The following is a 21,353-nucleotide window of genomic DNA, read 5'->3' as shown; positions in this document are numbered from 1 at the left end:
GCCCTGGCCAAAGCCCTTATCTAGCTCACCCTTGACTGAGATAGCTAAATGTGAGGAGTACTTATTGAGCACTGGATTATAGTCCATGTTCACACTGCTATAAAGAAATACCCGAGACTGGGTGATTTATAAAAGGAAAGAGGTTTAATTGACTTATAGTTCCATATGGCTGGGGAAGCCTCAAGAAACAATCGCTGGGCGCGGTGGCTCACGCCTGTAATCTCAGCACTTTGGGAGGTCGAGGTGGGTGGATCACGAGGTCAGGAGATTGAGACCACCCTGGCCAACATGGTGAAACTCCATCTCTACTAAAAATACAAACAAAATTAGCCGGGCATGGTGGTGGGCGCCTGTAGTCTCAGCTACTCCAGAGGCTGAGGCAGGTGAATGGCGCGAACCTGGGAGGCAGAGCTTGCAGTGAGCTGAGATTGCGCCACTGCACTCCAGCCTGGGCGACAGAGCGAGACTCCATCTCAAAAAAAAAAAAAAAAAAAAGAAAAGAAAAGAAAAAAGGAACTTACAATCATGGTGGTGGAAGGTGAAGGGGAAGCAACGACCTTCTTCACATGGCGGCAGGAGGGAGCCGGGGAAACCGTCACTTGTAAAACCATCAGATCTCGTGAGAACTCACTCACTATCATGAGAACAGCATGGGGGAAAACCGCTCCCATAATCCAATCACTTCCCACCAGGTCTCTCCCTAAACACCCAGGATTACCATTCAAGATGAGATGTGGGTGGGGACACAAAGCTTAACCATATCACGCACCAACTGTGTGCCAGGCACCATTCTAAATGCTTCGGCTTCATCCAATGTCCGTAAAGCTGTTGGCAAAGAGTAACACCAGGAGGCAGAGCCTGGGTGGCACTGCTGATCTGGCACAAGGTGGACTCAAGAGCTGCCCAGAGATGTCCACACACCCCAACCCCAGCCTGTGGCTGGGCCTCCAGAGGAAGCCAGCAGTACTGGACGGCTGCCAGGTGAGATACCTGCAGCTCACTGAGGGGTCTGCCCATGAACCTGTTTCTGTGATGGCCTGGTTCCTGAAATGCCAACCCCTCTGTACCTTAGACAGAAGCCATGCCATTGTACCATCTGCAGGTCCAGGCAGGACCACCTAAAGTCTGCCTTTCCTTCCAGAAACCACAGGGCACAGGTTAGACTGGGCACACCTTTTATTTGGCTGCATGCAGTAGGGCGAAGTCAGGAGAACACTGCTATCTTTCCAGCAGGACAAGAGGCAAGTTCCAAGGGTGGTTGGCTGGGAGACAGAGGTCTTGGGAATGGCAGTTCTAGGGGTGGGGTGGGGGCTTGGAATGCTCTCCAAGCCAGAGGGGGCCGGGCCTGGATTTGGGAGGTGGACAGGGGATTCTTCAAACCCCCTACCATACTCATCCAGGGCTCATGTGTCCAGCTGTCAGAGCAGGTCCCAATCCTGCTCCCCATCTACCCTGGGACATCCTGTACAGGATTCCCTCAGTCCTCTGGGAACCTAACCCCACCTGGTACCCATCTAGCTTCTGGGGCTCCACTGACAGTGAGGACAGTCCACACCCGACCTGGACCCCACCCCACCCTGGGTCTGTCCATCTCAGTCCCGGCCTGAGCCTCTGGGCCAAAGCCACCTCTTCTGAGCAGGCAGGCAGAGCGAGAGACTGGGAGCAGCAGACAGGGGCAGAGCACGGCCCATGAGCCCACCCTCCACTTCCCAGATTGGTCAGAGTTACATGGTCACCTCCCTGCACCTGCACCATCAGGGCAGCTGCAAGCTTGCCAGTTGTCTTGCCTGTCCCTGCTCCGAGGGTCAAAGAACACAGGTAGAATGGTCCCAGGAGGGGAAGGGAGAGACAGATCCAGGCTGGCCTCCAAGCTCGACTTTCTGAGGGGCCCAGGGGAACATGCTGCACCTCCCACATCTCAGGTGCTCCGTCTCTGAAAGGGGCACACGCAGGCTTCCCCGGCCATCATTCAGGTCAAGACCTTTCGGGGAGAGCTGGCCCGACCCCAGCATGCGAGGGCTGCCCACACTGAGAGGCTCCACAAAGAAGAGGCTGCTAGGGGCAAGGGTTAGAGGTCTGGGGACACCTGGCCTCCACCTCCCCTTCCCAAGCCCAGCCCTTTTCTGACAGCAGTTGTTTACCAGTCAGGGTTCAGCAGATGGGGGCTCAGGGGGTGTCAGGGCAGCGGGGGCCCGATGGTGATGCTGCTGTTGGTGACCCTCGGGCCGTACCAGCCGGCCCAGTAATGAGTGTCCACGCCGCCGTGCTGAAACCAGATGTAGCGGACGCCGGGCGGGTAGTTGGAGAATGTGTGGGAGACCTGGCAGGGCAGGTAGAGGGGGGAGAAAGGTCAAGGGAGCTGACTCAGGCTGGGTGTGGCGGCTCACACCGGGAATCCCAGTACTTTGGGAGGCTGAGGTGGGAGGGTTGTTTGAGCCCAGGAGTTTGCAACTAGTCTTGTCGCAAACCAGAGAGTGAGATACCATCTCTACAAGAAAAAAAAAATTAGCCAGGCATGGTGGTGTGTGCCTGTAGTTCTAGGCAGGCTGAGGCAGGAGTACAGGCTAAAGTAGGAGTTCAAGACTGCAGTGAGCTGTGATCACGTCACTGCGCTCCAGCCTGGGCAACAGAGTGAGACCGTGTCTCTAAAAAACAAAAGAAATAAAAGATGAGCCTTAACAAAAAGGGTGGGAGCAGACTCTGAGTGTGGCACTGCCTGAGGGGGGCAGGGGAACAAGGAAGGGGCTGAGTTCTTGGTGCCAGCTAGAAATCAGTGGAGTTCTAGTTTGAACTCTGTGATTTGGGACAGACCAATTCCTTTCTCTGTGCTTCAGTTTCCTCATCTATAAAATGGAGCAAAATCCTGCTGGTCTACTCCACAGGATTATCATTCAGCCCAAAGGAATGGAAAGAAACTGCAAGCTGCCAAAGGATGTCCAATATACTCATCACGGGGCACATGTATTATTTAGGTTAAAATTAAGTAAAAGTGCCCGGCGCGGTGGCTCATGCCTGTAATCCCAGAACTTTGGGAGGCTGAGGCGGGTGGATCACCTGAGGTCGGGAGATGGAGACCAGCCTGACCAACATGGAGAAACCCCGTCTCTACTAAAAATACAAAATTAGCTGGCGTGGTGGCGCATGCCTGTAATCCCAGCTACTCAGGAGGCTGAGGCAGGAGAATCGTTTGAACCGGGAGGCAGAGGTTGTGGTGAGCTGAGATCGCGTCACTGCACTCCAACCTGGGTGACAGAGCGAGACTCCGTCTCAAAAAAGAAAAAAAAATTAAGTAAAATTAGATGAAATAAAAAATTCAGGTACTCAGTTGTACTAGGAACTGGCTCTTACTAACTGTTCAGTGGTCACATGTAGCTACTGGCTACCTTATGGATAGCATAGACACAGACCATTTCTATCACTACAGAAAGTTCTATTGGACAGGGCTGGGGTTGGCAAACGATGGCCTGCAGGCCCACTGCCTGTTTTTATAAATAAAGTTTTACTGGAACATAGCCATGTCCATTCGTTTACATATTGTCTAGAGCTGTTTTCACACAACAGCAGAGTTGGAGAGTTGAGTAATTGTGACAGAGACAATGTGACCTGCAAAGCCTAAAATATTCGTATCCGCCATTTTAAGAAAACATTTGCTAGGGCTGGGCACAGTGGCTCATGCCTGTAGTTCCAGCACTTTGGGAGGCTGAGGCAGAAGGATGACTTGAGGCCAGGAGTGCGAGACCAGCCTGGGCAACAAAGCAAAACTCCATCTCTACAAAAAAAAATTTTTTTTTTAATTAGTGGTGGTGCACACCTGTACTCCCAGCTACTCAGGATGCTGAGGCAGGAGGATGACTTGAGCCTAAGAGTTTGAGTCTGCAGTGAGCTATGAATGCGCCAGCCTGGGTGACAGAGACCCTGTCCCTAAAAATATGTTAAGTAAATTAAAACAAACAAACAAACAAACAAATATTTGCTGACCCCAGTCTAGAAAACAGTAGTAATCAATACTAGTAATTAGTAACAGTCAGTCAACCTTTTGGAATTTTTTTTCTTTTCTTTTCTTTTTTTGTTGAGATGGAGTTTCGCTCTTGTTGCCCAGGCTGGAGTGCAATGGCGCGATCTCGGCTCACGGCAACCTCCGCCTCCTGGATTCAAGCGATTCTTCTGCCTCAGCCTCCCAAGTAGCTGGCATGTGCCACCACGCCTGGGTAATTTTGTATTTTTAGTAAAGACGGGGTTTCTCCCTGTTGGTCAGGCTGGTCTCGAACTCCCAACCTCAGGTGATCTGCCTACCTGGGCCTCCCAAAGTGCTGGGATTACAGGTGTGAGCCACTACGCCCTGCCAACCTTTTGGAATATTTTTTGGCCCTGGCTTTGCCAGCATCATTTCACTGATTTCTTTCAGAGCTCTATGAGGGAAACACTATATACCCATTTTACAGAAACAGCGAGTGAAGCTCAGAGCATTGGAAGCACAGGTGAGAAGGTGCAGAGCTTGGATCTGAACCTAGGCCCCGTCTGACCACAGCCTCAGCCTTGGACGATCTGCCTCTGCCCCCGTCCCCCAGGCCCACGCACCTCCCTCCACTTGGCATCGCTCTTCTGCTGGATGGTCGCCGGGTCTGGCTGGAAGGTCCCCAGAGGCGCGTGCGCGGACGACAGGAGCTGAACGCACAGCTGGTACTTGGACCCGCAATCTGGCCTGGCTGCGAACCTGCAGGGAGAGGGAGGGCCCATCAGGGCCTCGGAGATTGGGGGCAGGGCGGGGGTGGGGCGCCTGATTGGCATGCCCCACCCCAGACCCTCGCCCCAGGCACTCACCAGTCCTTGACCTCGATGTCCGGCCGTGTGGTATCCATCAGCTCCTCCCAATACCCTTCGGCCTTGAGGTCCACCACCTGGGACTTGAGGCAGGTGCTGGGGGCAGGCAGAGGGGTGGGAGGGGCTGGGCTCACCACTAGGGCAGTGAGGGGCTAGGACTGCCCCTTCCAGGGTGGGAGAGACCCCAGGGTAAATTGATTTGGGCTTTCCCCTACCCCAAGTCCCCGGATCTTACTAATATGAAGTAACGAAGTATTTCTTGACCTGGTCATTGGGGAATTCCTTCCTCTGGTCTCGAGAGAGATCCTCCACCTTCCACTCATCGCCTCCATTCACATCCAGGCTCCAGAACTCGAACCCCTCTGATGGAAAAGCAGAGTTCACACTGAAGGGAAGCCCCTCAGTGGCCGCCTTCTCCCAAATGCCCCTTCCTCCCCACTCCTCTGCCTGCATCTTGGCGGCTGCCCTCAAGCCCTGTGCTGTGGGACGCTGCAGATCACAGTGCCCACCGCGTATTAGGTGCTTCCTGTGTTGCAGGCACAGGGAGGTGACTTCCCTGGGGGCCCTGAGACACATGGTGATGGAAATGACCAGACCTCTTCTGTGATGGAGAACGCTCTGATGTGGGCCAGACAGACCTGGGTCTAGTCCCAGCTCTACCAGTACTCGGTTGTCTGACCTTGGACCAGTTGCTTTTCCTCTCTGACCCTTGGTCGTCTCCTCTGTAAACTGGAGTAAGAATAGGGGCTGAGAAGCATTTTTGGCAAAGTGCCAAAATGTTTTAGGACTTGTGGCCCACATACTATCTCTATTGTATAGTTTTTTTGTTGTTGTTTCTTTTCCTATAACCCCTTAAAAACACAAATCTTTTTTTTTGTTTTTGTTTTTTGAGATAGGGTTTCGCTCGTCACCCAGGCTGGAGTGCAATGGCTCGATCTCAGCTCACTGTAACCTCTGCCTCCTGGGTTCCAGTGATTCTCCTGCTTCAGCCTCCCGAGTAGCTGGGATTACAGGTGCATGCCACCACACCTGGTTAATGTTTGTATTTTTTTGTAGAGATGGTGTTTCGCCATGTTGGCCAAGCTGGTCTCGATCTCCTGACCTCAGATGATCCACCCACCTTGGCCTCCCAAAGTGCTGGGATTACAGGTGTGAGCCACTGCACCCAGCCCAGCTGCCTTCTGTGATGGACAAAGCTCTGATGTGGGCCAGACAGACCTGGGTCTAGTCCCAGCTCTACCAGTACTCAGCTGTGTGACCTCAGGCCAGTTGCTTTTCCTCTCTGAGCCTCAGTTGTCTCCTCTGTAAACTGGAGTTAAGAATAGGGGCTGGGAAGCTTTTTTGGCAAAGTGCGAAAATATTGTAGGAATTGTGGGCCATAAACTATCTCTATTGTATAGTTTTTTGTTGTTTCTTCTTCTTCTTTTTATAACACTTTAAAAATGTAAAAACAATTATTAGAACAATTATTAATGCCTCAGCCAGATTTGGCTCATGCACAGCTTGGAGGAGTGGTTTTATTATCATTTTGCTCCAGAATTTGGTCATGTTGTGGAAAATGAGGTTCCCATGCCATCCCAGTGTCAACCCAACAACACAGCAAGCAAGGATCAGTGGAAGCCTTGCTTTACCTGTTGTTGTAACATACTGAGAAGACGACTGGATCTCCCATTCTTCCACAAGCAAAACCCCTTTGGCCTTCTGGGACCATGTCAGTAGGCCCAACCCTGGAGCCTAGAAACTAGGCCAACAAAATATGGCTCTGACTTCCTGGCCTTGTGTCTTGAGCAGAATTAGTCTCAGTTGGCCAACATTCCCTCGCCTAGGAAAGGTCACTGGGGAAATAATCTTAAGAGCAGAATAAGAGGCCGGGCGCGGTGGCTCATGCGTGTAATCCCAGCACTTTGGGAGGCCAAGGCGGGCAGATCACCTGAGGCCAGGAGTTTGAGACCAGCCTGGCCAACATGGTGAAACTGTGTCTCTATTAAAAATACAAAAAATTAGCTGGGCGTGGTGGCGGGCACCGGTAATCCCAGCTACTCGGGAGGCTGAGGCAGGAGAATCGCTTGAACCCAGGAGGTGGAGGTTGCAGTGAGCCGAGATCGCACCATTGCACTCCAGCTTGGGCAACAGAGCGAGACTCCATCTAAAAAAAAAAAAAAAATTAGCCAGGTGTGGTGGCACATGCCTGTAATCCCAGCTACTTGGGAGGCTGAACTTGGGAGGTGGAGGTTACAGTGAGCCAAGATTGTGTCACTGTACTCCAGCCTGGGTGACAGAGTGAAACTCCGTCTCAAAAAAAAAAAAAAAAAAAAAAGAGTATAGTAAGAATAAGAAACACCACTCTTGGCCTCAGTTTGCCCATCTGAAAAATGTGTGCACTAACAGTAGCTACCTCTTTGGGTTACTGTGAGAGAAGTAAAGGTGTTAAACCATCCAAAGTACCCGGCTCATACTAAGTGCTCAATACATGTTCCTGGTGTCATGACTGTGTACTGGAGGCATGCCAGACCCGGCCTGTACCCCACCTTCAGCGCACGGGTTGTGCAGGAGGTTCCTGTGCAGGCTCCGTAAGAAGTAGAAGATCTTCCAGTCGGCCACGGGCTGGTCCCAGTCCTCAGTGATGAAGCCCTCTCGCAGGCACTTGCGTTTCCAGAGGGTCACGAGGTCGATGAGGTCCCGCCAGAGGCTGCAGACCAGGCGGCAGTTCAGCAGCAGCTGGCGGGCGGGCACGTGCGTGAACAGCTCCAGCAGGATGTTCTCGGGCAGCTCGTTGATGTTCCCCACAGCCATGGCTTGTGGCTTCTGGACACCCTCCTGTAGCTGTTGAAAAGCTATGCTGCAGGCCTCATCCCTGCTCTGCCATTTATCTCGGGAGAGCATGGTGCCTCTCCCAGCCTGTTTCCTTCTCTGTAAATGGATGCCTTACCTCCAGGGGTCACTGGGGCGGTCCAAGGAGCTTGGGACACATCAGGTACTTTAATAAAAGGTGAGCTCTGATTTTTTTCTCTGGCCTCTCACAATAGAGGTGGAAGGCACTGCCCAAGGTCAAAAATAAGGGCAGAGGGGGAAGAAGCCCGGATCTTCTTTGATTCCAGGGCCAGCCTTTTTCAGTAGGCCAGTCTTTAATGGGGATATAATGCGCAGCCGGGCAGAGCACCCCAGGCCTCCGGTGCCGTCACCATCCTCTCTCCCATCCTCAGAACATGATGGGAGGAGGAGGCTAATTATCACTGCCTCCCGCGGAGGTCCAAAGGGCTCCAGCCACCTTCTCAAGATCTCAGAGGACATGATCTCCTGCCTAGGTGGGAGTGGCAAGAGGGTGGGCGACAGGGAAGGGCCCTTCCTATCTCCCCACCCCCACTCCCACCCCCAGCCCCGCGGCTGGGCTCCGCCAGCCCCAAGTCCGCCAGCGCGCCTGCAGCCTCCCCTTCCCACGCTGTGCCTTAAAATGCCCCCCAAAGTCTGGGCTCGGACCCCTGTACATCGATGGCGACCCCAGCCCCCGTTCGCAGCCGCGCAGCGCAGCCCGGGCAAGCTCGGCGGCCTGGGCCTGGTCGGTGCCAGGCCTCCCTCGGCAACTGCGGCGCGACCCGGAACCCAGGAGCCTTCCCGGCAGCCCCCGCCCAGCCGCGCCCCCTCCCCAGCGCCCCCCGCGCCCCCTCCTGCCGGTCACCTGCGCTCGGCCGCCGCGGCACGATCCGTTGGGCCGCCCAAGCTGCACCGCCTGGACCTGCGCTTGCCTGGAAAGCGAGGCCCCGCCCCGGCCCGCCAGGCCCCGCCCCCGCGCCCCGCGCCCCGCCCCGCGCAGCGCTGGGCCAGGGACGCACCCCCACCGCGTCGTAGGAAAATTACCTGGTGTGGGGGGTGGGGCGGAAGGCACCTCCTATACTCCGACTCCGCCTGGGCCACCCGCCCCTCACCCTCGGCCTGACCCAGCCTCTCCGTGCCTCCCCTAGCCGCCTCCTCCCAGCAGTCCCCCAGGAGCGAGCTGCGAGATGCCCCAAATCGGACCCCTCCCCAGTTGGAAAAAAAACGACTCCTGACCTTTCCCAGCCTCCTCGGTCCGCTGAGGAACCCGCAGCCCCGGGCCTCGAGCAGACTGCTGGGACTGCGGGGCGGCCGGGCGCGGGGCCAGAGGCGGGGCGGGGCGGGTCGGGTCGGGGGCCTTTAAGAGGCGCGGTCGCCGGGACCGACACAGACGCGGACAGCGCCGGGACTCGCCGCCCCGGGACTCGCGCAGCCCGCAGCGCTCCGGCTCCTCCTCTCGCGACCGCCCTCCGCAGCGATGGACGGAGACGGTGACCCAGGTAGCCGACGCCTGGACCGCTCGCTGCGGCGGGGAGGGGAGATGGGGTCGGCGGGCGAGCGCTGCACAGAGGGGCGTCAGAGAGCGAGGGGACCCGGAGACCTGGCGCGGCAAACTTTCACGCCAGCGAAGCCCTAGAGGCGGTCTCCAAAGAGCACGTCTCTCTGCTATCTTGGTCTGGCGGGAGGCCTTGAGAGGCGACTGGCAAGGAGAGAGAACTCCTGGGTCCCATTTAGCCAGGAAGTAGCACCAGAGGACCCCCACATTCCCGCCTCCCAGCTTCCTGAGGGTCTGTCTGGCGGGGGCCTGGGATGCGTCTGGGAGGGAGGCTGCGAGCCTTTTCTTTCATCAGCTCTTCCAGCTCTGGGCCTTGGGCCGTCTGAATCCCCGTGGGTTCCTTGGGGTCCCAGGCCTGGCCTCACCTATTCCTGCCTTCCTCCTGAGCTCCCTTGTCTGGAGGGGCTGCCCCTCCCCGGGGTGGTGAGATGCCCAGTGGGGACCCGACTAGCGGTGAGGGAGCGTTGGGGGCAGCTTTGGCTGGTGCTCAGGGCCTTCCCAGGCTGCCCAGTCATCCTCTCTGGCACCCAAGACCCCTCACCCCCATCCCTCCAACTCCCTGCGGGGCCTGCAGGGGTTGCCTGCTGAGTCAGGATGGAAACAAGACCTGCCTGCAGACAGCCCTCACTCTTTCCTCATCAGGTCCAGCTGGGGATGGGCATTGCTTGGGTTAGGCGGTGGCAAACAGACTGATGAAAGCTCAGGCCCCCCCTCACCCCCCATTCCCCCGCCTCCAGCCCTGAAAATTCCAGCTCTCGCAGCCCTTGCTCCCAATCCACGGCCTTCTGGCCACACCCTCTGTAGGGCTCCAGAACTGGCTCCTGCTTTTTCCCAGGGATCAGCTATACCCTGGACTCTGGGGCCCACTCCAGGTGAGTGAGTCAGCCTCGCAGGCAGGCAGCTTCCAGGGGCCAGATAACTTTCCGCCGGCAACAATGTGGGGAGTTGTGTGTGTAAGAGAGAGGGTGGGGGGAGCTGTAATTGGATCTGGGGCCTCGAGTGCCAGGCCCCGGGGCCAGAAGAGGGGACTGGGTGAGGTGCACCTTTCGGGGAGCATCAGGTGTCCGATGGGGCCAGGGCCGGAGGGAGGGCTGGAGAGGTGAGGACACTGGGCCTAGCTCCCCAGAGAGCTGTGGGCATCTGCCTGGGCAGGTGATGTGACTTCAGGGCCTGGCATTTTCCTCTGTCTTCCTGCCGTTCTGCGATGTGGTCTGGGAGAAGCTGTTAAGCCTTTTTTGGCCTCAGTTTCCTCTTTGCCAAAGGGGCCGGTGTAAATCCCCACATCATAAAGATGTGGCCAAAAAAATGTTAATAAGGAAGGAGAAGTGCTGTGTTCAATGAGGTTCACTCAGTAAGATTGACTGAGGACTCACTGTGTGCTCTGGGCTCTGTGAAAGCTCTCAAGGGCCTGACTGTGGGTTGGGCAGGGAGGAGAGGCTGCATATGAGGAGGTTAGGGGCTGGTGGGCCTGGAGACTTGGGTCTGGGTCCTGCCACCTGTCCCCTTCCCCAGTGCCTGGCCTGTTCCCACCACCGCCTTGGCTCTCCAGGGCCTAGCCCATGGGAACTCCCCATCCGTAGGTCTGAGAGCTGTAGTCTTCCTGATCACCCAGAGTGGCCCCGTCTCCTCCTCACTGGCTCTCCCTCGTCCAGGCATCTTGGGCACTCGGTGTCCACTTACTCAAGGCTGTGATGGCCCAGCTGAAGCCGACTGGGATGCAAGAGACAGTCCGGCTGCCGCGGTGACATCTGCCTGCCTCCTTACAATTCAGAATGCCCTTGTCCCCTTCCTCAGGGGATTTGGACGTCTGTCCTGTTTGTATGGCCTGGCACAATGATTACCCCCATTTTATAGATGAGAAAACTGAGGGCCACGGATGGGAAAAGGAGGTGGAGAAAGTTTCCTTCCCCAAGCCCCTATGTCATCTCCTTGCTTGATAGAGTTTCTTTTAATAAGTCCCTCCTCATCCCCAAGTCACACAATAGCTGGGGACAGCTGGGTCTCCAGGCTCTGTTCTCCAGCCCCTGAAGGCCCCAGGTCCCATGTCCCCTTCCCTAAATACTGGCAGTGTGTCCTTCAACAAGTCACTTCATCCCTGAGCCTGAGCATTTGCACCTGCAAAGTCAAAATCCTGGCCTGGGTGTAGTGGAGCATGACTGTAATCCCAGAACTTTAGGAGGCCGAGGCAGGAAGATTGCTTGAGTCCAGGAGTTGGAGGTCAGCCTGAGCAACAGAGTGAGACCCTATCTTTAAAAAGAAAAGTCAGCCGGGCGTGGTGGCTGACGCCTTTAATCCCAGCACTTTGGGAGGCTGAGGCGGGTGGATCACCTGAGGTCAGGAGTTTGAGACCAGCCATGCCAACATGGTGAAACCAGTCTCTACTAAAAATACAAAAATTAGCCAGGCGTGGTGGCACATGCCTGTCATCCCAGTACTTGGGAGGCTGAGGCAGAAGAATCGCTTCTCAGCTTCCAGCTACCCGGGAGGCAGAGGTTGCAGTGAGCTGAGATTGAGCAGTGACAGAGCAAGCGAGACTCCATATCAAAAAAAAAAAAAAAGTCAAAATCCTAACACTGCCTACTAATTCAGTGAATTATTCTGTGGAGGCTGTGGTGGTTTAAGATGGCTCTGGAGCCAGGCTGTCTGGGTTCAAATCCAGGCTCCAACCACTGATTAGCCGTGTGATCCTGGGCCGTTTCACCTCTCTGTGCCTCAGTTTCCTCATCAATGCAATAAGAACAGCAATAAGAGCAACCTCAAAGAAGTGGTATGAGGATTTAAAGAGTAAATGAAGTTGAAATGCTTTGGACGGTGCCTAACACTTGATGAGTGCCCCCAAAACATGAGTTCCTGACAACAGACCAGGAAAGTGCCAGATGCCAGGCACAGGGCATGAAGCTGTGTGTTTTCCAGACCATGTTCTGGCCCTTATAAGGCTCCGTATGGTCCAGAGACAGGCGTTTATCACAGGATCACACCCCAGGACAAAAGCTAGGAAGGGCTGTGAGAGGGTGTCATAGGGGGAAGTCCCGGAAGGCTTCCTGAGGAGGTGAGGGGAGCAGGAATCTCAGAGGGTGGTTGGGAGGAAGAAAGAAGTTCCTGTGTGAAGCACTGTGCAGTGCTATAGATGGATGCCATTAATAATAATAATATGATCCTTGTTGCCATCTGCCCAGGCGTGGGGTTTACTGGTCCAGCAGAGGAAATAGGCCTCTGAGGCACCTCTTTGGACTTAGGGGCTGATCCGGGGTTGGTCTGTGGCCTTGTGGCCCTCCTCCTTGGGCACCAGTATGGAGTCACAGAATCTCCGGCCCCAGCTGTGGATTGTCCCACGGTGGGTGGGGGAGGTTACGGGCACATTGCAGTCCTGGGGCCTGGAGGAGTACAGGGTGGAGGAATCACAGCCTCCCACCCATCCCTGCCTGCAGAGAGCGTGGGCCAGCCCGAGGAGGCAAGCCCGGAGGAGCAGCCAGAGGAGGCGAGTGCTGAGGAGGAGCGGCCGGAGGACCAGCAGGAGGAGGAGGCGGCGGCCGCCGCCGCGTACCTGGACGAGCTGCCCGAGCCGCTGCTGCTGCGCGTGCTGGCCGCACTGCCGGCCGCCGAGCTGGTGCAGGCCTGCCGCCTGGTGTGCCTGCGCTGGAAGGAGCTGGTGGACGGCGCCCCGCTGTGGCTGCTCAAGTGCCAGCAGGAGGGGCTGGTGCCCGAGGGCGGCGTGGAGGAGGAGCGCGACCACTGGCAGCAGTTCTACTTCCTGAGCAAGCGGCGCCGCAACCTTCTGCGTAACCCGTGTGGGGAAGGTGAGAGGCCCTCGCTGGGCGAGCTCAGCTTCCCCTGCTGCGAAATGGGCCGAAACGGCGCCGCCTGGCTTTGAGGGAGAAATGGGATTAAGCGCCTGGCTCAGTGCCAGCACTGGGTAGCCCCAAGGCTGTCTATTACTGTAGCTCTCTGGCCACCTGTGCCCTGGGGTCTCCCGGGTCCTCCCACCCTCAGCCAGCTGGGGCAGGGCGGGATGGGGGACATACCTCCCGGGAGGCAGATTTAGAAACTGCCCACTGGTCCACCCTCTCATTCATCATCTGCCCACCAAGACACCAAGTGCGACCTTTGCCCTGCCCCCCACCACATAGTGGCAAGAGCCAGCCTTAGCAGGGACTGAGTGACCAGGGTGGGGCTGTCGTGTCCCTACAGAGGACTTGGAAGGCTGGTGTGACGTGGAGCATGGTGGGGACGGCTGGAGGGTGGAGGAGCTGCCTGGAGACAGTGGGGTGGAGTTCACCCACGATGAGAGCGTCAAGAAGTACTTCGCCTCCTCCTTTGAGTAAGGAGAAGGGGGTGGAGGAGGTGGGAAGGGGGGAGCGTTCGCTCTGTCCTAACTCCAGTTCTCCCAGGTGGTGTCGCAAAGCACAGGTCATTGACCTGCAGGCTGAGGGCTACTGGGAGGAGCTGCTGGACACGACTCAGCCGGCCATCGTGGTGAAGGACTGGTGAGAGGGTCCTGGGGTGGCATGGGGCTGGGAGGAGCGGGGTAAGGCAGAGGGGAGAGCCAGCTGGGGAACCCCCCGCCTGGGGGTGCTGCCTCCCCACTGCAGGGGTTGAGGCCACGTGGGCCACGGGTCTGCAAAGGTTGACAACTTCCGTGTTTGCAGGAGAACCTGGAAACCCACCTCCCCTCCTGAGTTTTAAATGTTGGCAAATATATGCACATATATATGTTTGTATATATGTAATGTATATATTTCAAAATCAGTCTGCGGTCCAAACCAAAGGCCACTCTGTGGACTGGCTTTGGCCCCAAGCTGGGGTCTGGCCAACTTGGAATGTAGTCCTCGTGTTTCGCTCGTGGGCTGTCACTTTCTCTTGCTGGCCTCGTTTCCCTTATCTGTAAACTGGGAACACTGGCAGTGCTGGCTGACAGGGATGTTGGGCGCACAGGAGGACTTTTGTGGAAATCCCCATCCCCAGGACGTGTTCAGCAGGGCTGAGGCCATGCCCCCACCCCACCTCCCGCCCCCCACCTCGCTCCCTCCCTCTGAGCAGGTACTCGGGCCGCAGCGACGCTGGTTGCCTCTACGAGCTCACCGTTAAGCTACTGTCCGAGCACGAGAACGTGCTGGCTGAGTTCAGCAGCGGGCAGGTGGCAGTGCCCCAAGACAGTGACGGCGGGGGCTGGATGGAGGTGAGCCTGGGGGACCCAGGGCGGAGGGGTGGGGCACGGACATGAGGGGCGTGGCTCGAGGAGACCCCGCCCACAGCGCTCCTGGGCTGGGGTGGGCTGGGCTGGGCTGGGCTGAGATAGTCACCGGGTGGTGGAGAGAGTTCTGAATACCGCGGAGAAACCGAGTGGGGGAGCTGCAGGTCGGTCGGTGTACCGGGGTGGGGCGGCAGGAGAGGCCTCAGGACCTCCGAGGCTGACTCTTGTTACCTCCACCCCCAGATCTCCCACACCTTCACCGACTACGGGCCGGGCGTCCGCTTCGTCCGCTTCGAGCACGGGGGGCAGGACTCCGTCTACTGGAAGGGCTGGTTCGGGGCCCGGGTGACCAACAGCAGCGTGTGGGTAGAACCCTGAGCGACCCTGCCTCCACTCTCCCCCAGCTGCCTGGAGGGGCAAAGGTCGAGGGTAGATAGGCCTTAACTTAGTCCATAGCGTCCTCACCTTCCCCAAGCCACACATCCTCCTCCCATCCCTTGCTCCGATCCCAGCCCCTGAGCAGGGAGAGAGAAGTTTTGTTGGCATAGGTTTGCTTAGGTAGCCGGCTTCTAGAATGTAGATCCGTGAGGGCGTGAGCTTGGACTGGACCCACTGCTGATTCCCTGCACCTAGCACAGTGCTTGCCACAAAGTGGGCTCTCAATAAATATTATTTGTCCAAGGAAGGAATGAATGAAAAAATGGATAAACACTGCTCCCTTCCCATCCTTTTCTGTCTCCTGAGGGCCCCCGGCATAGCCTGGAAAAATACTTGGTAGGGCTCCAGCTGCTCTGGTTTCCAGCGGACCTTGGGCCAGTATGGAGTCAGCTGGGCCCGGCCTTGCCAGGGAGGACAAAGCTGGGATTGTGAGACCAAGGAAGGTTGAGCTGAGCCTGGCGCCTGACCGACACCCAAGCTGCCCAGAGGCCAGAATAGGGCATGTTGGCGGGGGGGCTGCCCTCCAGGCCTCTCTTGGTCCAGTGAGTATCCTAAGCCTTGCTATGACCCCCCATCCTTTACTAAAGGCAGAGTGGGGTTGGGGGTGTACCAGTTCTCAGGGCCCGGGTGACCAATAGCAGCATGTGGGTAGAGCCCTGAGCGGCCCTGCTTCCACCCTCCCCCAGCTGCTTGGAAGGGTAGAGGCTGGGAGTAGATAGGCCTTAACTTAGTCCATAGCGTCCTCACCTTCCCCAAACCTCCACAGCCCTTCATCAAGCTGGGCCCCTAGGGCAAGGTGTCAGTTCCTTTGTCTGATTGGCAACTGGGGTGGGTGTGGACTGTGCTAGGGTCTAGGGTACCAGTTCTCTTGGGCCCAGGGATGGAGGTGAGGGGCCTGGGGTAGGGGATGGGAGGTGGGGATGGGGAAGCACAAAAAGGATTGGTTTGGGGTTTCTCTTAGTTCGTGCCCACCCCCTGGAGTCATTAGCATCTGGTCTCATTGGCCCTTTTCCAAACCTGGCCCAGAGGTTGGCCCAGGCTTTGGCCTGGGGGAGGGGAGGTGGGGAGGGTCTTGTGCCAGACTCTGTGCTCCGGCACGCTCCTTCCGGCCGACCCAGCCCCTTCCAAAGACTGTCAGCTGCTGGTCCTAGGGGTGGGCATTTGAAGGGCCTGGAACCCTCTGCCCTCCTCTCCTGAAATGGAGACCAGTAAAATCACCGAGAGTCTCCAGCTTTGCCTCGGTTCTGAACCCTGATGCTACCTGCTGTTCTGGTGGGATTGCAGGGTTCAAGCTGGGGCCTGCCTGCAATTGTTTATTCATTCACTAGTTCATTTATTTACAATTCCCAGAGCCCCAACCCCAGGCCAGGTCATGTGTGGGGGCCCTGAAGTTACGGTGGGGAATAAGAGACTCCTTCCCAGGAAGAATCAGCAGCCTGGCCACATGAAGGGTGGGACCCAAGGGGAGGGGGAGCCAGTGTCCTGGGCCCTCCAGTGCAGTGGTGGAGATGCAGCCCCTGCTCTGGGGGCATCCTCAGTCTGACAAGGGAGACAAAACCTTGACTTCAGAAAACTCTCAGTTTCAAGGGAGAGGCATAACCTCTTCCATAAGGATGCCCTCCGTCCTGTCTGGGGGATTTCAGTCTGCTGGGGAAGGCACAGTCCATGTTCACCCGAGCTGCCAATCAGACAAAGGAACTGATGCCTTGCCCTCAGGGTCCAGCTTGATGAAGGGCTATGGAGGAACAGGCTCACCCCATGAGCTCCCATGCTTAGGGGTGGGAGACTAAGGGTGGGCATGTGGGGAGCCAGGTTAAGAGGAGATGGGGTGAGTGGAGAAAGGACCGGAGCCTGCACTGGGCTATGGGAGGAAACTGAAGATGGAGACAGGTCATGGGCATGAGGGGCCAGGAGGCCAGGTAGGGCCTGGCCCTTCAAGGACTGGAGGTCAGCATAGGAATGTGGGGGGTGTGGAATGTGCTGCAGGTGGAGGGGAGCGCCCCTGAGTTTCAGGTGCGCATGGGACGTTCGGGAAAGAGGCCCATAAAGAGTGTGGGGCCCTGGGCTGCCGATGCAGGTATAGGAGTTGCAGTGTCTGTGGCCAGCAACCAAAGCCAAGGGCGGGAACAGGTGCAGAGTGAGGCAGGAGAGGCCTCTGGGCTCACGACAGACCGGACTGACCGGGGACAGGGAAAGCAGGGCAGCCAGGAAGGCAGGGAGATGGGTGGGAGGAAGGTGCAAGACCAGAAGGCCACCTGCAGCCAAGAGCCTGAGGAAGGAGCCAGAAGCCCTGCCCAGAAGCCCAGAGGCTCTGAGCCTGCTGTGGTCTCTCCCCAGAGCATGGGGCCCTCAGAGGAGACCGGAGGGGCCTCAGGCTCACTCTTGCTGTCACTAGAGGGACATCGGGTACACCAGTGGTGTTTAGGTCAGGAAGATAAGACAACTGCTTCTCAGCCTTCAAAGGGCTGTGTGAGGTGGGCCAGAAGGCTCACTGGGCATAGGGCACGTCCTATCACACCACCCTACAGTCCAGTCAGGTGGGACAGGGGAGAGGGCATGGTCATCCCTTTTACGGTTTTCTGGCAAGTGACACAGAGTAACTGGAGAAGCAGAAGCTCCCATCCAGGCACATCTGGCTCTTAAGTGAGTGCTCTTAACTCCTCTCAGCATTACTGTCCCCTACCCTGGAGGACAGAGCTGGACCCACGTGTAAACGTTATAGGATGGCATATACCAGCTGCCTGTAAGGAAAAACCTGTGTGGCGTCCAGCAGGGGGCACCCCAGGGCTGTCTCTAGGACAGTGGGGACAGTTGAAGCGAGAGACAGCAGATAGGGCTTTCATGTCTCCTATGATCCTATTTTTTATTTAAAATTTAAAAAAAAAATTTTAGAGACACGGTCTCACTCTGTCACCCAGGCTGGAGTGCAGTGGTGTGATCATGGCTCACTGCAGCCTCAATTTTCTGGGCTCAAGCGATCCTTCCACCTCAGCCTCCTGAGTAGCTGGGATTGCAGGCACGTGCCACCACACCAGGCTAATTTTTATTTTTTATAGAGATAGGGTCTTGCCATGTTGGTCAGGCAGGTCACAAACTCCTGACCTCAAGCAATCCTCCTGCCTCGGCCTCCCAAAGTGCTGGGATTATAGACGTGAGCCACCGTGCCTGGCCAGTTCTTCCTAATCATTTGATATTTATTGAGCACCTACTATATGTAAGGTAGGGACAAAACAAAGTCTCTGGTCTCTTGGAATATACAGTCTAGATGGAGAAACATAACACAAGCAACTAAATGAGTGAACAAGATAATTACCCACATGAGATAGCCCTTCATCAATAAGCCAGGCACTACTCTAAAAGCTTTATCTATATTAATTTGTCATAATAACCTCACGAAGTGGAAACTGTGATTACTTCCATTTTTACAGATGAGAAAATTGGGCCAGGTGCAGTGGTTCACACCTGTAATCCCAGCACTTTGGGAGGCCAAGGTGGGTGGATCACCAGAGGTCAAGAGTTCGAGACCAGCCTGACCAACATGGTGAAACCCTGTCTCTACTAAAAATACACAAAAATTAGCCTGGGTAAGAAGAGCCAAACTCAGTCTCAAAAAAAAAAAAAAAAAAAAAAAAAGAAAGAAAAGAAAAATAAAATTGAAGCACAGAGAGATTAAGCAACTTGCCTTAGGCCATACTGCTAAGAAGTGATGGAACTGGAATTCTTTTTTTTTTTTTTTTTTTTTTTTTTGGTACGGAGTCTTGCTTTGTCTCCCAGGCTGGAGTGCAGAGGCGTGATCTCAGCTCACTGCAACCTCTGCCTCCCGGGTTCAAGCAATTCTCCTGCCTCAGCCTCCCGAGTAGCTGGGATTACAGGCGCCCGCCACCACACCTGGCTAAGCTTTTTTTTGTATTTTTAATAGAGATGGGGTTTTACCATGTTGGTCAGACTGGTTTTGAACTCCTGACCTCAAGTGATCCACCTGACTTGGCCTCCCACAGCGCTAGGATTACAGGCATGAGCCATCACGCCAGGCGGGAACTGGAATTCTACTCAGCCACTTAGGCACTTGGCCTCTGTAGTGTAGAGAGTGAGGGCAGGAGTGCTACTTTGGTTGGGGTGATCAGGGAGGACCTGTCTGAAGAAGTGACTTTTTTTTTTTTTTTTTGAGATGGAGTCTCACTCTGTTGCCCAGGCTGGAGTGCAATGGTGCTATCTCAGCTTACTGCAAACTCCACTTTCCGCATTCAAGCGATTCTTGTGTCTCGGCCTCCCGAGTAGCTGGGATTACAGGCGTGCACCACCATGCCCAGCTAATTTTTTTTTTTTTTTAATAGAGACAGGGTCTCACCATGTTGGCCAGGCTGGTCTTGAACTCCTGGCCTCAAGTGATCCACCTGCCTTGGCCTCCCAAAGTGTTGGGATTGCAGGCATGAGCCACGGCGCCTGGCTGGAAGTGACACTTGAATCACATGATGACGAGAAACCAGCCATACGGCTCTGGGGAAAGAGCACTGCAGAGGCAGCCAAAGGCTCCGACATGGGAATGAACTTATTCACAGGTCAGAAAGGCAGCCAGCATGGCTGGAGCAGTGAGCAAGTGAGGAGGTGATCTGACGTGAGCTTGGAGATGTAGGAAGGTGACCCAGAGAGTTTCCTGAGGACCTACTATGTGCTCTGCCCTATAAGATATAAATGCTCTAGGAAGCAGATATGATATCGTTTCCATTAAGGAAAAACCTTTGCTCTGTTCAGCAGGAGCTAGGGATGGGGGTTTAGACATCAGCTGCTGACAATCTTGTTTGATGAAACCAAATTTCCCAAGAGTAGCAGGATGATCAGGATGATGATGATGGTGATGATGCTGATGGCAGCAATGATGGCGATGACAGGCATTTGCTGAGGACCTAGAGCGCCAGTTCATGAGCTCAGTGCACAGGCTCATTTAATCTGTGCAGTGGCCCCCTTAGATAAAAGAGCTAAGACTCAGAGATGCAGGGTAGCTTGCCAGGGTCATGCAATGAATAAGGAGTTGAAGCTGGCTTTCCAGCTTAAGTCTTTTTTTCTTTAAATTGACATTTTATATGTGTATATAGACTTTTAATTAACATTATTTTCACAGAGCCAAGCAAACATTTTCAGTCCGCAGGAGGGAAAGAGGGGAGTTGTGGGTTGTGTTGCTGTTTTTTTTTTTTTTTTTTTTTGAGATGGAGTCTCGCTCTGTCGTCCAGGCTGGAGTGCAATGGCGCAATCTCAGTTCACTGAAACCTCCGCCTCCCAGGTTCAAGTGATTCTCCTGCCTCACCAGCTTAAGTTTTAATGACTTTGCTGGGGTACAGAATCAGAAGGGGCCACATGCTGGGGGACAGAGCAAGGACAGAAGCTGGGGGCTCCCAGGTGAGGAAGAGCAGAAAGAGTTGGAGATGACGAGGACACTGGGCTCCAGAGTGTCTGTGCGTACCATTACCCCAGGCAGTAGGAGGGATGCTAGGTGTTTGGGGGCTATTTTGGCTAAGTGGTCAGGGAAGGTAAAATGAATTTCCTCTTAGATTTCTCAGTGGAAACATATGTTTAACAATTTGGTAATGGAAAAGTCCCTCTTCCCCTTTCTGATTTCTTTTTCTTTTTTTGAGACGGAGTCTCGCTCTGTTGCCAGGCTGGAGTGCAGTGGCGCGACCTCTGCTCACTGCATCTCTACCTCCCGGGTTCAAATGATTCTCCTGCCTTAGCCTCCCAAGTAGCTGGGACTACAGGCGTGCGCCACCACGCCCAGCTAATTTTTGTATTTTTAGTGGAGACGGGGTTTCACCGTGTTGGTCAGGCTGGTCTCGAACTCTTGACCTTGTGGTCCGCCCACTTCGGCCTCCCAGAGTGTTGGGATTACAGGCGTGAGCCACTGCACCTGGCCTCTGGTTTCTTTACCTTAAAAATCTGGATTTTTGTGTACGCGGTGTATTCAGTTGTGGACATGGTATATTCAATTGTGCACATAGAGGGAGGGAAGGGCCAGTTCCTCCAAGTACCACTAGGTGTCAGCATTGTCAAGGCTGTCCCCAAGCTGTGTCTGTCCTGCCCATTTCTCTGCGGAGGAAAAGTCGAATTTGAATCCAAGTCCTGGTCTCTTCCCATTGTTTGGGGCTGAGCCTGGCTCTTCAGGGGCTGGGATTTGGTGCTGCTCTGACCCCAGAGGCTGTATGAGAAACATTTAGGAGGCTAGGTCTCCAAGGCCTGGGAGGCCCCTGGGTCTCACCCCAGGCCACATAGCAAGGGCTTTGGATGGCTGGACTCCCCTCCAGAGCTGGGCCCCTCCCAACTAGGGAGGGCTGGTGGTATCCTGGGATCTAGCTCCAAGTAGGTCTGGGAGTCTAGAACCCCCCCAAGTCCATCTCCACCTCGGCAGAGCCCTGGGCCTTGCTTGATGGTGCCAGGCCTGCAGTGAACACAGAACACCCAGACAGATCCAATCCTGAGTTCCTGGTGCATAATGACTTTGCTATTTCCCACCACCGTAAATTAAACCTAATCTTGTGTTGACTCTGC

The 21,353-nt window shown here is 55.4% G+C and overlaps 2 protein-coding genes across 29 annotated transcripts, besides 6 other annotated features; one reads left to right on the top strand and one right to left on the bottom strand.

Annotated features, from left to right (window-relative positions):
* Nucleotides 1-122: 122 nt before the first annotated feature.
* On the bottom strand, nt 123-9,043 carry FBXO44 (F-box protein 44). 28 transcript variants are annotated; one of them, XR_007064917.1, is made up of 9 exons: nt 8,498-8,573; nt 7,751-8,122; nt 7,350-7,644; nt 5,057-5,183; nt 4,822-4,917; nt 4,579-4,714; nt 2,142-2,320; nt 770-825; nt 123-634 (listed from the first exon to the last, which is right to left on the bottom strand). XR_007064917.1 is itself a non-coding variant. In XM_047434637.1 (8 exons), the coding sequence occupies exons 3-7, from the start codon at nt 7,612-7,614 to the stop codon at nt 2,177-2,179; spliced, it is 768 nt and encodes a 255-aa protein (XP_047290593.1). In that variant the 5' UTR covers nt 7,615-7,644; nt 7,751-8,122; nt 8,498-8,573; the 3' UTR covers nt 123-825; nt 2,142-2,176. The 28 variants fall into 28 exon arrangements, 22 of the variants coding, with proteins under 22 accessions (XP_047290593.1, XP_047290608.1, XP_011540737.1 ...); XR_007064914.1 differs by lacking the exon at nt 7,751-8,122; XR_007064913.1 differs by lacking the exon at nt 7,751-8,122 and having other exon boundaries at nt 5,086-5,183.
* Nucleotides 4,274-5,473: an enhancer, noted in NCBI's record as "BRD4-independent group 4 enhancer chr1:11718034-11719233 (GRCh37/hg19 assembly coordinates)". NCBI's record gives its function as "activates an origin of replication core promoter dependent on BRD2, P300/CBP, MED14 and CDK7 cofactors, and independent of BRD4, by STARR-seq in HCT116 cells {active_cell/tissue: HCT116}" and the evidence as "EXISTENCE:reporter gene assay evidence [ECO:0000049][PMID:35650434]".
* Nucleotides 8,342-8,411: a silencer, noted in NCBI's record as "silent region_267". NCBI's record gives its function as "represses an Ori minimal core promoter by ATAC-STARR-seq in GM12878 lymphoblastoid cells {active_cell/tissue: GM12878}" and the evidence as "EXISTENCE:reporter gene assay evidence [ECO:0000049][PMID:35858748]".
* Nucleotides 8,462-8,691: a silencer, noted in NCBI's record as "silent region_266". NCBI's record gives its function as "represses an Ori minimal core promoter by ATAC-STARR-seq in GM12878 lymphoblastoid cells {active_cell/tissue: GM12878}" and the evidence as "EXISTENCE:reporter gene assay evidence [ECO:0000049][PMID:35858748]".
* Nucleotides 8,932-9,071: a silencer, noted in NCBI's record as "silent region_265". NCBI's record gives its function as "represses an Ori minimal core promoter by ATAC-STARR-seq in GM12878 lymphoblastoid cells {active_cell/tissue: GM12878}" and the evidence as "EXISTENCE:reporter gene assay evidence [ECO:0000049][PMID:35858748]".
* FBXO2 (F-box protein 2) lies at nt 9,021-15,063 on the top strand. Its single transcript, NM_012168.6, has 6 exons — nt 9,021-9,131; nt 12,616-12,984; nt 13,376-13,505; nt 13,576-13,671; nt 14,225-14,363; nt 14,622-15,063. The coding sequence occupies exons 1-6, from the start codon at nt 9,110-9,112 to the stop codon at nt 14,754-14,756; spliced, it is 891 nt and encodes a 296-aa protein (NP_036300.2). The 5' UTR covers nt 9,021-9,109; the 3' UTR covers nt 14,757-15,063.
* Nucleotides 12,302-13,009: an enhancer, noted in NCBI's record as "H3K4me1 hESC enhancer chr1:11710498-11711205 (GRCh37/hg19 assembly coordinates)". NCBI's record gives its function as "activates a minimal SCP1, AML or CMV promoter by ChIP-STARR-seq in primed H9 embryonic stem cells {active_cell/tissue: H9 hESC(primed)}" and the evidence as "EXISTENCE:reporter gene assay evidence [ECO:0000049][PMID:30033119]".
* Nucleotides 13,010-13,718: an enhancer, noted in NCBI's record as "H3K4me1 hESC enhancer chr1:11709789-11710497 (GRCh37/hg19 assembly coordinates)". NCBI's record gives its function as "activates a minimal SCP1, AML or CMV promoter by ChIP-STARR-seq in primed H9 embryonic stem cells {active_cell/tissue: H9 hESC(primed)}" and the evidence as "EXISTENCE:reporter gene assay evidence [ECO:0000049][PMID:30033119]".
* Nucleotides 15,064-21,353: the final 6,290 nt, after the last annotated feature.

The sequence above is a fragment of the Homo sapiens genome, chromosome 1 (assembly GCF_000001405.40).
Source record: "Homo sapiens chromosome 1, GRCh38.p14 Primary Assembly".
Lineage (NCBI taxonomy): Eukaryota > Metazoa > Chordata > Mammalia > Primates > Hominidae > Homo > Homo sapiens.
The sequence above is the reverse complement of the archived record's forward strand: the minus strand, read 5'-3'. Positions and strand labels throughout refer to the sequence as shown.

Coding starts and splice junctions, on each gene's coding strand:
- FBXO44 (XM_011542435.2), bottom strand. CDS start 7,614: ATGGCTGTGGGGAACATCAACGAGCTGCCCGAGAACATCCTGCTGGAG. Junction 4,715..4,821: donor GACATCGAGGTCAAGGACTG/GTGAGTGCCTGG, acceptor CTCTCCCTGCAG/GTTCGCAGCCAGGCCAGATT. Junction 2,321..4,578: donor GCGATGCCAAGTGGAGGGAG/GTGCGTGGGCCT, acceptor CTGCCCTGCCAG/GTCTCCCACACATTCTCCAA.
- FBXO2 (NM_012168.6), top strand. CDS start 9,110: ATGGACGGAGACGGTGACCCAG. Junction 9,132..12,615: donor GGACGGAGACGGTGACCCAG/GTAGCCGACGCC, acceptor CCCTGCCTGCAG/AGAGCGTGGGCCAGCCCGAG. Junction 13,672..14,224: donor GCCATCGTGGTGAAGGACTG/GTGAGAGGGTCC, acceptor CCCTCTGAGCAG/GTACTCGGGCCGCAGCGACG.